Source organism: Homo sapiens, chromosome 12, assembly GCF_000001405.40.
Source record: "Homo sapiens chromosome 12, GRCh38.p14 Primary Assembly".
Lineage (NCBI taxonomy): Eukaryota > Metazoa > Chordata > Mammalia > Primates > Hominidae > Homo > Homo sapiens.
In genome coordinates, this window is record NC_000012.12 from 54,306,930 (window position 1) to 54,323,444 (window position 16,515).

At 46.4% G+C, this 16,515-nt stretch overlaps 1 pseudogene, besides 1 other annotated feature; it reads right to left on the bottom strand.

The window, feature by feature from the left end:
• Positions 52-572: a transcriptional cis regulatory region, noted in NCBI's record as "intergenic|chr12:54700765-54701285 region (GRCh37/hg19 assembly coordinates) targeted for CRISPR interference". NCBI's record gives its function as "positively regulates HNRNPA1 and NFE2 gene expression in K562 cells {active_cell/tissue: K562}" and the evidence as "EXISTENCE:mutant phenotype evidence [ECO:0000015][PMID:31784727]".
• Positions 10,852-10,958, bottom strand: RNU6-950P (RNA, U6 small nuclear 950, pseudogene; annotated as a pseudogene).

Sequence of the window (16,515 nt, forward strand, 5' to 3'; positions counted from 1 at the left end):
AGGAAGATAAAATGGGATCAATACAAAAATTAGTCTGTTACTTATTAGATGAAAGCTTAGATACCTGGAGGCCAGAGTGACCCAAGGGCTTGAGGAACTTCGAATGCCCTATCTGGAGGTCAGACTCTGGTAGAGAGATGCTTGGGATAAACTGAAGCCAGTAAAGAGCCTGATTCTGGGGGAGAGCAAGAGCTAGGCTGCACTAGTGTTGGCGGGGAGGGGTGGTGGCTAGACTTCCAGGAACTAGCCTGCAGGCCGTGGCTCTCCCATCCCAGCACTACTGGGCGGGGCTAGTTCCAGCCACGCCATGGGCACAGTGCCAGGCTTATGGGCTTCAGTCACCTTCCAGGAACCCCAGAACCTCCGCCCCACCTCACACTGTTGCAACCCTCTAAAGTGGGTGGAGCTGCCTAGGAAGTCCCACCCTCTGCTCCTCCTTAGAGGATGGAAGGCCAGATCCCTGGCCATTTACCAACTTCTTTTCACAGGCATCCTTCTCATTCCAGACCTCCATCTTTGCCCCTGCTGCTCCCCTCTACCTGGAATGCCTTCCTTGGCCCTTTCTACCAATCTGAGGCAGTGTGGAGTAGACGAGAGATCTGGGTTTGAGTCTCAGCTCAGCACCTAGCAGCGTGGACTTGGGCAAATTATCTAACCTCCTTGAACCTCAGTTTCCCCTTGGTAATGAGTGAGAACAGAGGTTCCATCACAGGTTGTGTAAGGGATCAGATGAAGCAATGCACATACAGTGCTTATACAGGAAACACATTAATGTTGGTTCCCTTCTTATAATCTACTCTCCAAGGAGAGTTCATTTCAAGCTCTAGGTCTGCAACACCCTTTCTGGCTACTTTCACACATACACATAGTCCTCTTTTCTTTCTTTCTTTCTCTCTCTCTCTTTTTTTTTTTTTCTTTTTGAGACAGAGTATCACTCTTGTCAGCCAGGCTGGAGTGCAGTGGCGCAATCTCGGCTCACTGCAACCTCCGCCTTCCGGGTTCAAGCAATTCTCTGCCTCAGCCACCTGAGTAGCTGGGATTACAGGCACCTACCACCACACCTGGCTAATTTTTTGTATTTTTAGTAGAGACAGGGTTTCACATCTTGGCCAGGATGGTCTTGAACCCCTGACCTTGTGATCCACCTGCCTCAGCCTCCCAAACTGCTGGGATTACAGGAGTAAGCCACCGTGCCCGGCCAATTTTTGTAGAGACAGGGTTTCACCATGTTGGCCAGGCTGGTCTCAAACTCCTGACCTCAGGTGATCCGCCTGCCTCAGCCTCCCAAAGTGCTGGGATTACAGGTGTGAGCCACCACACCTGGCCATATTCCTCTTTTCTAACTTATTTTGCAATAATATGTACCAGAGAATTAATAACGTCGTTTAAATATTTTTCTATTTGGACCACATGATTTTGTATTTTATTATATCATCCTATAATAGTGATGGTAAAAACGGTATTGAACAAAATTTGTCTAAGGCACCACAGTACAATGGCTAAGAGCATGAGTTTCAGAGTCAGAAATGCCTGCACTCAAATCTTGGGTCTGAAGATGGGAACAATAGACACTGGGGACTACTGATGGCAGGGAAGGCTGAAAAACTACCTATTGGGTACTATGCTCATTACCTGGGTGACAGGATCATTCATACCCCAAACCAGTGTCATGCAATATACCCATATAACAAACCTGCACGTGTACCCTCTGAATTTAAAATAAAAGTTGAGGCCAGGTAGGGTGGCTCATGCCTGTAATCACAGCACTTTGAGAGGTTGAGGCAGGAGGATCTCTTGAGCTCAGGAGTTGAGACCAGCCTGTGAAACATAGTGGGACCCTTCTACAAAAAAAAGAAAAAAATTCTTTTTAATTAGTAGGTGTGCCTGCATGCAACTGTATTCCCAGCTACTCAGAAGGCTGCAGTGGGAGGATTGTTTGAGCCTAGGAGGTCAAGGCTGTAGTAAGCTGTGATCATGCCACTGCACTCCAGACCGGGTAACAGAGAGAGACCCTGTCTAAAAAATAAAATAAAATAAATTGTTATTACTATTATTATTTTCTTTTCTTTTTTTCTTTTTTTTTCTTTTTTTTTTTTTGGGACGGAGTCTCTCTCTGTCCCCTAGGCTGGAGTGCAGCGGTGCGATCTCAGCTCACTGCAAGCTCCATCTCCCGGGTTCACGCCATTCTCCTGCCTCAGCCTCCCGAGTAGCTGGAACTACAGGCATCTGCCACCATGCCCGGCTACACTTTTGTATTTTTAGTTTATTTTTAGTTTATTTTTAGTTTAGACAGGGTTTCACCTTGTTAGCCAGGATGTTCTCGATCTCCTGACCTCATGATCTGCCCGCCTCGGCTTCACAAAGTGCTGGGATTACAGGTGTGAGCCACCACTCCCGGCTTATTATTATTATTTTTTGAGATGGAGTTTTGCTCTTGTTGCCCAGGCTGGAGTGCAATGGCATGATGACGGCTCACCGCAACTTCTGCCTCCTGCGTTCAAGCAATTCTCCTGCCTCAGCCTCCCAAGTAGCTGGGATTACAGGCATGCGCCACCATGCCCAGCTATTTTTATATTTTTAATAGAGACGGGGTTTCTACATGTTAGTCAGGCTGGTCTCGAACTCCTGACCTCAGGTGATCCTCCCGCCTCAGCCTCCCAAAGTGCTGGGATTACAGGTGTGAGCCACCGCGCCCAGCCCTAGTTTTTTTATTTTTTTTAGAGTCAAGGTTTGACTCCTAGGCTGGCATGTAGCAGTGCTATCATAGCTCACTGCAGCCTCAAACTCTTGGGCTCAAGTGATCTTCCCACCCCAGCCTCCCAAAGTAGCTGAGACTACAAGTGTGTGCCACCACACCAGGCTAATTTTTTGTAGAGACAAGTCTTCACTATGATGCCCAGGCTGGCCTCAGACTCCCAGACTCAAGCAATCCCCCAACCCTTGCCTTCCAAAATGTTAGGATTACAGGTGTGAATCACTGTGCCTGGTCTTTTATTTTTTAAATAATCCACTCACTCCCCTTCACATCCAGAACCATAAACTTGCAGACATTGTTAACTTCCTTGTCCCTCTTGCCCTCCATAGAACTTTCCTGGAAAAAAATCAAATTCCAGTTAAATCCAACAATTCAGCTTCTCCATATATATACCTAGGTAGCTGAATATTGAAGGAGAAAATCTCAGAATCTGGCTAACTAGCATCACTTTAAATTTATGCCCCTAAGATGGGTGCGGTGGCTCGTGCCTGTAATCCTAGCACTTTGGGAGGCCGAGGCGGGCAGATCACTTGAGATCAGGAGTTCGAGACCAGCCTGGCCAACATGGTGAAACCCCGTCTCTACTAAAAATACAAAAATTAGCTGGGCGTGGTGGCGCATGCCCGTAATCCCAGCTATTTGGGAGGCTGAGGCAGGAGAATAGCTTGAACCCGGAAGCAGGGGATGCAGTGAGCTGAGACGCGCCACTGCACTCTAGCCTGGGTGACAGCAAGACTCTGTCTCAAAAAAAAAAAAATGCCCCTAAAACGCAACACTCCCAAATAATTCTGTATTTCCCTGGTAAATTCTCTTTTCTACCCTGCATAATGATTGTTTCACACCTTCTCTCTTCTAACATCTCCAATACCACCTCCAGTTCACTCTCAGCAGATGATCTTGCTTCATGTTTCATTGATAAAATAGATGCATTTAGATGAGACTGCCTCATTTTTTCCAATACCAAAATCCACCAGTTTACTTGTATCTATTCCCACATGCTTGGCCTTCTACCTTATCAAGGTGAAAGAAGGCAGCCGGGCACAGTGGCTTACGTCTGTAATCCCAGCACTTTGAGAGGCCTAGGCGGGTGGATCACCTGAGGTCAGGAGTTTGAGACCAGCCTGGCCAACATGGTGAAACCCCATCTCTACTAAAAATACAAAACTTAGCTGGGCGTGGTGGCGTGCGCCTGTAATCCCAGCTACTCAGGAGTCTGAGGCAGGAGAATCACTTGAACTCAGGAGGCAGAGATTGCAGTGAGCTGAGATCTTGCCACTGCACTCCAGCCTAGGCGACAGAATGAGATCTTCTCTCAAAAAAAAAAAAAAAAAGATGAGAAAAATATCCCTCTTCCTAAGGAAAGTCATCCCCTCACAGCTCTGTGAAGGGATGAAAAAAATTGGATTCCTCTGAGTGCATAGCTAACATTCAATTCTGCCCCCTAGCAACGTTGTTCTTTATACAGGTTACTATGTGTGATGTAGTCCTGAGGAAGGTTGATGAAGTAATTAAGAGGTAGGGGTGGATCTTTAGGTGGCAGTCAAAAGAGTTCATCCACGTAGCACCTCAAACTACTGGATGAAAGTTGCAACTACATAACCCCAGGAATCTTCTTTTTTGTGGTCTTAATTTTCATCATAGTCATATGTTAGGGAGACACCTCCTACACCTCAGAGACAAAGCCAGACTGTTGTTAGGTTAGATGCCATCTCTGGGTGTGGTGGCTTATGCCTGTAATCCTAGCACTTTGGGAGGCCAAGGCAAAAGGATTGCTTGAGGCCAAGAGTTTGAGACCAACCTGGGAAACATAGTGAGACCCTGTCTCAACAAAAAATTTAAAAACTAGCCAGCTGTGGTGGCACACACCTGTAGTCCAGCTACTTGGAGGCTGAGGTGCAAGGGTCACTTGAGCCCAGGAGGTTGAGGCTGCACTCCAGCCTGGACAACAGAGGTTTTTTTGTCTTATAAAAAAAAAAAAAAAAAAAAAAGATGCCGGGGCTGTGGCTTATGCCTGTAATCGTAACACTTTGGGAGGCCAAGGCGGGCAATCACCTGAGATTGGGAGTTTGAGACCAGCCTGACTAACATGGAGAAACCCCGTCTCTACTAAAAATACAAAATTAGCCTGGCGTGGTGGCCCATGCCTGTAATCCCAGCTACTCGGGAGGCTGAGGCAGGAGAATCGCTTGAACCCAGGAGGCGGTGGTTGCAGTGAGCCGAGATTGCGCCATTGCACTCGAGCCTGGGCAACAAGAGCAAAACTCAGTCTCAAAAAAAAGATGTCACCCTTCTATTGTCTCCCCAAGGCCTGATTTTGTGGAGGGGATTCGCCCACATCTCCAGATCAACAGCTGTAGTTGCCCCAACTCTGCTGTGATGACCACTGTGCTGTTTCCTATTATGCAGTGGCTGGAGTAGAAGCAATCTATGATTGCCAAAGCAAGAGCCAAAGCAAGCCCTGGGTTGGGAGTTAGTGTCTAGAGCCTTATCTAATTGAATTGTGTGGCCCTAGGCAATTTGAATTGCTTTTCTGAGTCTGCTTCCACTGTAGAATGGAAAAACCAAACAAAAAAATTCCTCTCACTGTCTCTCCTAAGCATATAAAATAAGGCTCCTTCCACACCTGGGTTGATTAGACTATCAAGGATAGAAACATTGCTAACTTTTTTTTCCTAAGAACATTGAGGCTGGGCACGCTGGCTTATGCCTGTAATCCCAGCACTTTGAGAGGCTGAGGCGGGCGGATCACCTGAGATCAGGACTTTGAGACCAGCCTGGCCAACATGGTGAAACCCCATCTCTACCAAACAGTACAAAAATTGGCCAGATGGGGTGGTGTGTGCCTGTAGTCCTAGCTACTAGGGAGGCTGAGGTGGGAGAATCCCTGGAACCAAGGCGGTTGAGGTTGCAGTGAGCCGAGATCGCATCACTGCACTCCAGCCTGGGCGATAAAGACCCTGTCTCAAAAAAGAAAAGAAAAGAAAACATTCAAGCTTTGGCTTGAATGCCCATGTCAATTTTGGTCAATTAATTCATCTTGGAAGAACTCACTTATGCTGACCAAACTTAGAAGAATATAACATATAAACCACATGGTTAATTTACATATTTCTACATAAAACTTCCAGTGGCGTGGCCGGGCACGGTGGCTCAGGCCTGTAATCCCAGCACTTTGGGAGGACGAGGCAGGCGGATCACTTGAGGCCAGGAGTTTGAGACTAGTCCAGGCAACATGGTGAAACTCCGTCTCTACTAAAAATACAAAAATTAGCTGTGCGTAGTGGTGCACACCTGTAGTCCTAGCTACTTAGGAAATATTTATCTATTTTCAAGCAGAAAATCACTTGAACCTGGGAGGCTGAGGTTGCAGTGAGCCGTGATTGCACCACTGAACTTCAGTCTGGGTGACAGACAGCGAGAGACTCTGTCTCAAAAAGAGAGAGAGAGAGAGAAAGAGAGAGAGAAAGAGAGAGAGGAAGGAAGGAAAGAAAGAAAAAGGAAGGGAGGGAGGAAGGAAGGAAGGAAAGAAAGAAAGAAAGAAAAGAAAGAAAGAAAAAAAAGAGAGAGAGAGAAAGAAAGAACGAACAAACAACCTCTCTGTACCACTTTTTTTTTTTTTTTTTTTGAGATAGAGTCTCGCTCTGTTGCCCAGGCTGGAGTGCAGTGGCGCGATCCAGCTCACTGTAACCTCCGTCTCTCAGGTTCAAGCGATTCTCCTGCCTCAGCCTCCCGAGTAGCTGGGACAACAAGCACATGCCACCACACCCGGCTAATTTTTTGTATTTTTAGTAGAGATGGTGTTTCACTGTGTTACCCATGATGGTCTCGATCTCCTGACCTCATGATCTGCACGCCTTGGCCTCCCAAAGTGCTGGGATTACAGGCATGAGCCACCATACCCGACCGTCTGTACCACTTTTAAATTTTGTTATTAAAAAATAGAGAAAAAAAACTTCCAGTGGCCTAGACAATCTTATTGGATAATCAAAATGGTTGACTATTTTGGAAGACAAGTTTGATCATTAGAAGGTTGCTTAGTGAACAAGTGGAATTAGTTGGATAATTTTATTTTATTTTTTTGAGACGGAGTTTCGCTGTCACCCAGGCTGGAGTGCAGTGGTGTGATCTTGGTTCACCGCAACCTCTGCCTCTCAGGTTCAAGCGATTCTCCTGCCTCAGCCTTCAGAGTAGCTGGGATTATAGGCGCCCGCCACCAATCTCGGTTAATTTTTGTATTTTTAGTAGAGACAGGGTTTTGCCATGTTGGCCAGGCTGGTCTCGAACTCCTGACCTCAGGTAATACACCCGCCTCGGCCTCCCAAAGTGCTAGGATTACAGGCGTGAGCCACTGCGCCCACCCTAGTTGGAAAATTTTAGTGACTAATAGAACAGCATACATCTTCTTTATACAGATATAAGATATTCATTTATGTTGGACAAATGGGTAATCTTCTTTCCTAAATGTCGCTGGAGAAATATTGACAATTTTGGGGGTGGGGATTCTTTGCAGACTACTTCCTTACTCCCCCTTCTCTGAAGACAAGGTACAATTCAATTGATTGGGTTTCAGCTCTAGCCAAGTTAATATAATTGATTCTGTTTATATTCCCTTCAGCCATCTTATTCTAATTGATTGGGTTAGAATTTGATTGTGTTAGGCCTCCGGCCATTTTACTTTGAGTGATTAGGTTGCTAGAACTTTAGATATGTTGATAGAATTATGCTTTCCTGAAACTACACCAGGTTATTTGCTACTTCTACAAATGGCTGATCTCATCTATTATACTTTGATTTTTTTGTTTGTTTGTTTTTGTTTTTGAGACAGCGCCTCATTCTCTTGCCCAGGCTGTAGTGCACTGTCGTTATCATGGCTCACTGAAGCCTCTAACTCCCGGGCTCAAGTGATCCTCCTGCTTCAGCCTCCCAAGAAGCTGGGACTGCAGGCACATACCACCACGCTCAGCTGACTTTTCCTAATTTCACCTGTGGTACACAATCGTTTGGGGGACATTTTCTTACTGTTACTGTTTTGTGTCCATTGTAACCTGAAGAACTGCAATGAATTCCTAGTTGGTCTTTCTGCTGTCTCTTCAAATCCTTTATGCACACACAACTGTCAAATTAATCATTTAAAAATTGCTTCCATAAGCCTACAGAATAGAAGAAAATAATTGCAATTTTTGTACCTGATAAGGATCCAGTATCCAGAATATATAAAGAACTTTTACGACTACAACAACAACAACAAAAAACAATAATCCAACTCAAAAATGAATAAATGACTTGAATAGACATTTCTCAAATAAAGATATACAAGGCCGGGCGTGGTGGCTCACGCCTGTAATCCCTGCACTTTGGGAGGCCGAGGCGGGCAAATCACGAGGTCAAGAGATCGAGACCATACTGGCCAACAAGGTAAAACCCCGTCTCTACTAAAATACAAAAATTACCTGGGCGTGGTGGCACATGCCTGTAATCCCAGCTACAGGAGAGTCTGAGGCAGGAGAATTGCTTGAACCAGGGAGTCAGAGGTTGCAGTGAGCTGAGATCGTGCCACTACACTCCAGCCTGGTGACGGGGCGAGACTATGTCTCAAAGAAAAAAAAAAAAAAAGGCCAGGCGCAGTGGCTTATGCCTGTAATCCCAGCACTTTGGGAGACTGAGGCGGGCGGATCACCTGAGGTCGGGTGTTCCAGACCAGCCTGACCAACATGGTGAAACCCCACCTCTACTAAAAATACAAAATTAGCCAGGCATGGTGGTGCATGCCTGTAATCCTAGCTACTCTGGAGGCTGAGGCAGGATAATTGCTTGAACCTGGGAGGCGGAAGTTGCGGTGAGCCGAGATTGCACCATTGCACTCCAGCCTGGGCAACAAGAGCAAAACTCGGTCTCAAAAAAAAAGATATGCAAATAGACAAACATATGAAAAGATGCGCAAATCATTAGTCATTAAGGGGCCGGGCGCGGTGGCTCACACCTGTAATCCCATCACTTTGGGAGGCCGAGGCGGGTGGATCACGAGGTCAGGAGATCGAGACCATCCTGGCTAACACGGTGAAACCCCATCTCTACTAAAAATACAAAAAAATTAGCCGGGCATGGTGGCGGGCGCCTGTAGTCCCAGCTACTTGGGAGGCTGAGGCAGGAGAATGGCGTGAATCCGGGAGGCAGAGCTTGTAGTGGGCTGAGATCACACCACTGCACTCCAGCCTGGGGGACACAGCGAGACTCCGTCTCAAAAAAAAAAAAAATCATTAGTCATTAGGGAAATGCAAATCAAAACCATGAGACACCATGGTTTACAACCACCACTAGGATGGCTGTAAAGAAAATACAAAACCAAAAAACTCTGAAAATACCATGTGTTGGTGAGGATGTGGAGAGGAGAAATCAGAACCCTCAAACGTTGTTGGTAATGTAAAATGGTGCAGCCACTGCGGAAAATAATTTGGTAGTTCCTCAAGAAGTTAAACACAGGGCCTGGTGCAGTGGCTCACGCCTGTGATCCCAGTGCTTAGAAGCCCAAGGCAGGAAGATTGCTTGAGACCAGGATTTCAAGGTCATCCTGGGCAACAAAGCAAGAGTCCATCTCTATAAAGAATTTTTTTTTTTTTTTTGAGACAGAGTCTCACTCTGTTGCCCAGGCTAGAGTGCAATGGCGCAATCTTGGCTCACTGCAATCTCTGCCTCCCAGGTTCAAGTGATTCTCCTACCTCAGCCTCCCAAGTAGCTGGGATTACAGGCACCTGACATCATGACCCGCTAATTTTTGTATTTTTGTGGATACGGAGTTTCTCCATGTTGGCCATGCTGGTCTTGAACCTCAGGTGGTCCGCCTGCTTGGCCTCCAAAAAGTGCTGGGATTACAGGCATGAGCCACTGCGCCAGCCTACAGAAAATACATTTTTAAAAAATTAGCCAATTGTGGGCCGGGCACGGTGGCTCACACCTGTAATCCCAGCACTTTGGGAGGCTGAGGTGGGTGGATCACAAGGTCAGGAGTTCGAGACCAGCCTGACCAACATGGTGAAACCCCGTCTCTACTAAATACAAAAATTAGCCGGGTGTGGTGGCGCACACCTGTAATCCCAGCTACTCAGGAGGCTGAGGCAGGAGAATTGCTTGAACCCGGGAGGCAGAGGTTGCAGTGAGCCAAGATTGTGCCATTGCACTCCAGCCTGGTCGACAGAGTGAGACTCCATCCCAAAAAAAAAAAAAAAAAAATTAGCCAAGTGTGCTAGTGCATGCCTGTGGTCCCAGGTACATGGGAGGCTGAGGCTGAAGGATTACTTGAGACCAGGAGGTTGAGGCTGCAGTAAGCCGTCTCCTCGCCACTGCACTCCAGCCTGGAAAACAAAAACAAAAAAGCAAAAAACAAAACAAAGCAAAAACAAAAAACAAAGTCCCAAAAAGAAGTAAAATAGGTTGGGAGTGGTGGTTCACACCTATAATCCCAGAACTTTGGGAGGGTGAGGTGGGCGGATCACCTGAGGTCAGGAGTTCCAGACCAGCCTGGCCAACATGGTGAAACCCTGTCTCTATTAAAAACACAAAAATTAGCCAGGAGTGGTGGCATGTGCCTATAATCCCAGCTACTCAGGAGGCTAAGGCAGGAGAATCACTTGAACCCTGGAGGAAGAGGTTGCAAAGAACCAAGATCCCACCACTGGACTCCAACCTGGGAGACAGAGTGAGACTCCGTCTCAAAAAACAAAAAGTAAAACATAGTTACCATATGACCCAGCAATTCCTCTCCTAAATACATACCCATAATAATTGAAAATACTTGTGGCTGGGAGGAGTGGCTCATGCCTGTAATCCCAGAATTTTGGGAGGTTGAGGTGGGTGGATCACTTGAGGTCAGGAGTTCCAGACCAGTCTGACCAACATGGTGAAACCCTGTCTCTACTAAAAATTAAAAAAATTAAAAAAAAAAAAGCCTGGTGTGTGGCGCACACCTGTAATCCCAGCTACTGCAGAGGCTGAGGCAGGAGAATCACTTGAACCCAGGAGGCAGAGGTTGCAGCGAGCTGAGATCTCGCCACTGCACTCCAGCCTGGGTGATAGAGCGAGACTCCATCTCAAAAAAAAAAAAAAAAAAGAAAGGATTCGTGAATTTGCATGTCATCCTTGCGCAGGGACCATGCTAATCTTCTCTGCATCATTCCAATTTTAGTGTATGTGCTGCTGAAGCCAGCACTATATATATATATTTTTTGAGGCTCAGTCTTGCTCTGTCACCCAGGCTGGAGTGCAGTGGCATGATCTCGGCTCACTGCAACTTCTGCCTCCTGGGTTCAAGCCATTCTCCTGCCTCAACCTCCTTATAGGCGCGCACCACCACGCCCAGCTAATTTTTGTATTTTTAGTAGAGATGGGGTTTCACCATGTTGGCCAGGCTGATCTCGAACTCCTGACCTTGTGATCTGCTCATCTTGGCCTCCCAAAGTGCTGGGATTACAGGCGTGAGCCATCGCGCCCAGCCTCTTTCTGTTACTTCTTTGGGGTCTCTTAATGAAATGTCCCCTTCTGAATAAGGTCTTCCATGACCACCCTATTTAACTCTTCTTCCTTGTTCCTCTTTTCTCCCTAACATAAATGTACCATTCCAAATTGTGCAACATATAGCCCAGCACCCATGGCATGAGCCTGTAGTCCCAACAACTCAGGAGGCTGAGGTGGGAGGATCCCTTGAGCCCAGTAATTGAAGTCCAGCCTAGACAACAGAGTGAAACTTCATCTCTAAAAAAGAATATATATATATATAATAAATTGTTCAACAAAGTGGAATTGTCCACTACCCTCTTTTTCCATTTTGTTATTCTCCACAACACTTGTCATCTAACTTACTATATAGTTTACTTTTTTTTTTTGAAATGGGGTCTCACTCTGTCACCCAGGCTGGAGTGCAGTGGCAAGATCACGAAGCTCACTGCAGCCTTGATCTCCTGGGCTCAATCGATCCTTCAGCCTCAGCCCCTGGAGTAGCTGGGAATACAGGTGCATGCCACCACGCCCAGCTAATTTTTTATCTTTTTTAGAGATGAAGTCTTGCTATGTTGCCCAGGCTGGTCTCGAACTCCTGGCTTCAAGCAATCCTCCTGCGTCTGCTTTCCAAAATGTTGGGATTACTGGTGTAAGCCACCCCCCACTGGCCCTAGCTTACTTATTTTTTTGGTTTATTGTCTGCTCCTACACATTACCCCACCCCTCCAGCTAGAATGCAAGTTACATGAGGGTAAACATACTTGTCTGTTCTGTTCACTGCTTTATCCCCAGTGCCTGGCCCACAATTGACATTTAATAAATATTAATAGAATAGAATATAAACATTTACAAACATAGTTATTCATAATTATAGTCTTTTTTGTTTGTTTTTGAGACAGAGTTTTTGTTCTTGTCACCCAGGCTGGAGTGCAATGGCGCAATCTTGGCTCATTGCAACCTCCTTCTCCCAGGTTCAAGTGATTCTCCTGCCTCAGCCTCCTGAGTAGCTATGATTACAGGCGTGCACCACCACGCCTGGCTAATTTTTGTATTTTTAGTAAAGATGGGGTTTCACCATGTTGACCAGGCTGGTCTGGAACTCCTCACCTCAGGTGATCCACCTGCCTCAGCCTCCCAAAGTGCTGGAATTACAGGGGTGAGCCACCGCGCCTCATCTATAGTCTTATTTTTTTTAATAAAAAAATAAAATCATGACATATAAATTACTCTGCAACTTACTTTTATCATTTAACATGCCATTGTTATTTCTCCAGGTTAATGTATATAGATCTAACATTCCTTTTTTTTTGAGACGGAGTTTTGGTCTTGTCACCCAGGCTGGAGTACAATGGTGCGATCTTGGCTCATGGCAACCTCCTTCTCCCAGGTTCAAGTGATTGTCCTGCCTCTGCCTCCCAAGTAGCTGGGATTACAGGCGCTCACCACCATGCCCAGCTAATTTTTGTATTTTTAGTAGAGACGGCATTTCACCATGTTGGCCAGGCTGGTCTCGAACTCCTGACCTCAGGTGATCTGCCCACCTCGGCCTCCCAAAGTACTGGGATTACAAGTGTGAGCCACTGTGCCCGGCCTAGTTGCATATTATTCCACAGTCTAGATGTACGATAATTTATTAACTCATTCCCCTGTTGACAGATGTTATTTCTGGCCATTGTAAACAATTCTATAATAAGCATTCTTAAATATGTATCATTAGGTATTGGGCTGTGTTTTTATTTCTCTAGGAGAGGGTATATCCATGTTTAGTTTTACAGGATATTGCCAGAATACTTTCCAAAAGACTGTAACAATTCCAACTTCCACAACATCTGGTCCCTCTATGGCAGCTACCTAGGTTTGTTTTCAAGGTGTTTCACAACCTGGACACAAAGTACCTTTCCAGTTTTATCTCTGTTCTCTTTTCTTTCTTTGAATTCTGTTCCATGAAATCGATCCTTCAAAGATTTCTTATGCAACCTTTAAGACATTCTGCTAAGTGAAATAAGCTAGATGCAAATAGAAAAATATTGTATGATTCCATTTTATGAGGTACTAGAATAGTCAATTCATAGAGACAGAAAGTAGAGTAGTGGTTACCGGCTGCTGGGCAGAGGAAAGAATGAAGGTTACTGGTTTTTTAATTTATTTTAATTTAATTAATTAATTAATTAATTTTTGAGGCAGAGTCTCGCTCTGTCACCCAGGCTGGAGTGCAGTGGCGTGATCTCGGCTCACTGCAACCTCCGCCTCCTGGGATCAAGCAATTCTCTGCCTCAGCCTCCCATAGCTGGGATTACAGGCACCCGCCACAAAGCCCGGCTAATTTTTTGTATTTTTAGTAGAGACAGGGTTTCACCATCTTTGCCAAGCTGTTCTTGAACTCCTGACCTCGTGATCCACCCACCTCGGCCTCCCAAAGTGAGCCACCGTGCCTGGTCTATTTTTATTTTTTTGTAGAGATGGGGGTCTCACTATTTTGTCCAGGCTGGTCTCGAACTTCTGGCCTCAAGCCATCCACCGTCTTGGCCTCCCAAGTCCTGTGATTACAGTCATGAGCCATGGCGCCTGGCCAATCATAGAATTTTAAAGTTAGGGCCTGGCCGGGTGTGGTGGCTCACGCCTGTAATCCCAGCACTTTGGGAGGCCGAGGCAGCCAGATAACCTGAGGTTGGGAGTTCGAGACCAGCCTGACCAACATGGAGAAACCCCGTCTCTACTAAAAAAATACAAAATTAGCTGGGCCTGGTGGCACAAGCCTGTAATCCCAGCTACTCGGGAGGCTGAGGCAGGAGAATCACTTGAACCCTGGGAAGCAGAGGTTGCGGTGAGCCGACAGTGTGCCATTGCACTCCAGCCTGGGCAACAAGAGCGAGACTCCATCTCCAAAAAAAAAAAAGTTAGCTAGGGCCCTAGAAAGCTCTGGTCTGAACCTCTCCCCTTTCCAGAAGTGACAGCTATAGTCCATCCAGAGAGGGTACAGAGACTTGCAGAGTTCTCTCACTGATTAAAGCAAAGTCACAACAATAACTAATGTCTCTAATTCAGTCAATTGTCTTCCTCCCACAGCACAATTACCCCAACAGGCTGGAGAGCTAAGAATCAAGCGATCTTCTGCAACAATATCTGACTTAAAATTTGTCAGTTACTACACAGAAAAAGGAGCCAACCATCCCCATGAACCAACCATACCACACTTTTTCCTCCTTATGGTCCTTGTAGAATATCTGGCACTGAGGTAGAGTCCTTGAGGTAGGACTGGGATGCAAGAGAGGCAGTACAACAAACTAGAGGAGTGGACTGTGGGTAAGAACATGGTTTAGAGTCTCCTGTGCTCAAACGTATGGCTGCTAAAACAGTTCTGTAGCCTTAAGTAAATTATTTAACTGCTCTAAACTCCATGTTGCTCATCTGTAAAATGGGTTTAATAATCATCTACTTCGTAAGGATTTTTTATTTTATTTGTTTTTTTTGAGACGGAGTCTCACTCTGTCACCCAGGCTGGAGTGTAGCATGCAATGTCGGCTACTGCAACCTCTGCCCTCTGAGTTCAAGCGATTCTCCTGCCTCAGCCTACCAAGTAGCTGGGATTTCAGGTGCCTGCCACCGCGCCCGGCTAATTTTTTGTATTTTTAGTAGAGACGGGGTTTCACCATCTTGGCCAGGCTGGTCTTAAACTCCTGACCTCGTGATCCACCCGCCTCGGTCTCCCAAAGTGCTGAGATTGCAGGTGTGAGCCACCGCACCCGGCCAGGAATTTTTTTTTTTTTTTTTTTTGAGACAGAGTTTTGCTCTTGTTGCCCATGCTGGAGTGCAATGGCAGGATCTCGCTCATTGCAACCTCCACCTCCCGGGTTCAAGAGATTCTCCTGCCTTAGCCTCCGGAGTAGTTGGGATTACAGGCACCTGCCACCACACCTAGCTAATCTTTGTATTTTTAGTAGAGACGGGGTTTCACCATGTTGGCTAGTCTGGTCTCGAACTCCCGGCCTCAGGTGATCTGCCTGCCTCAGCCTCCCAAAGTTTTGGGATTACAGGCATGAGCCACCATGCCCAGCTACTTCATAAGGATTTTAAAAAATGTATTCAATAATGTATTTAAAGATTTAGCACCGTGCCTGGCACATAATAAGTGGGCAGTAAATGTTAGTATTACCTTTAAGCTGCAAAGCCAATGACAACCCACTGACTGTGATGCCAGGCACAGTAAATGTGTGAACAACTCTCCTTGAGGAATAAAAGGACAAGCCTTCACTTCTTCCAGATATAAGGCTTAACACCTGGTATTCCACCAGAAATTCACCTTCTGTCAGAGTACACTGTAGGTCTATAATTTGCATTGTATTGTTCAATTTTTTATTTTATCTTATTTTTATATACAGACTGGGTCTCCCTGTGTTGTCGAGGCTGGAATGCAGTGGCTATTCCCAGGCACAATCACTGCGCACTACGGCCTCGAACTCTTGGGCTCAAGCATCCTCCTGCCTCAGCCCCTGGGGTAATTGGTACTACAGGCACATGCCACAGCGCCCTTGTATTGTATTGTTTTATGTTTCCTTGATTCTACTCCGACTATTAGAAAAATTCCTGGGTGGCTGGGCCCGGTGGCTCACGCCTGTAATCCCAGCACTTTGGGAGGCCAAGGCGGGTGGATCATCTGAGGTCCGGAGTTCGAGACCAGCCTGGCCAGTATGGCGAAACCCCGTCTCTACTAAAAGTACAAAAATTAGCCAGGGGTGGCAGGCGCCTGTAATCCCAGCTACAAGGGAGGCTGAGGTGGCAGGGAGAATCGCTTGCAACCGGGAGGCGGAGGTTACAGTGAGCCAAAATCACACCACTGCACTCCAGCCTGGCGACAGAGAGAGACTCCGTCTTAAAAAAAAAAAAAAAAAAAAAAAGGCCGGGTGCAGCAGTGGCTCACGCCTGTAATCCCAGCACTCTGGGAGGCCGAGGCGGGCGGATCACGAGGTCAGGAGATGGAGACCATCCTGGCTAACACGGTGAAACCCCGTCTCTACTAAAAATACAAAAAATCAGCCAGGCGTGGTGGTGGGCGCCTGTGGTCCCAGCTACTCTGGAGGCTGAGGCAGGAGAATGGCGTGAACCCGGGAGGCGGAGCTTGCAGTGAGCCGAGATTGAGCCACTGCACTCCAGCCTGGGGGACAGAGCGAGACTCCGTCTCAAAAAAGAAAAATTCCTGGGTAAGTTTGGAATCTCTTCTTGGAGGGCTCCTAAGGATATAATTTTCAGAGATGAGGGAAAAAATCCCTTTA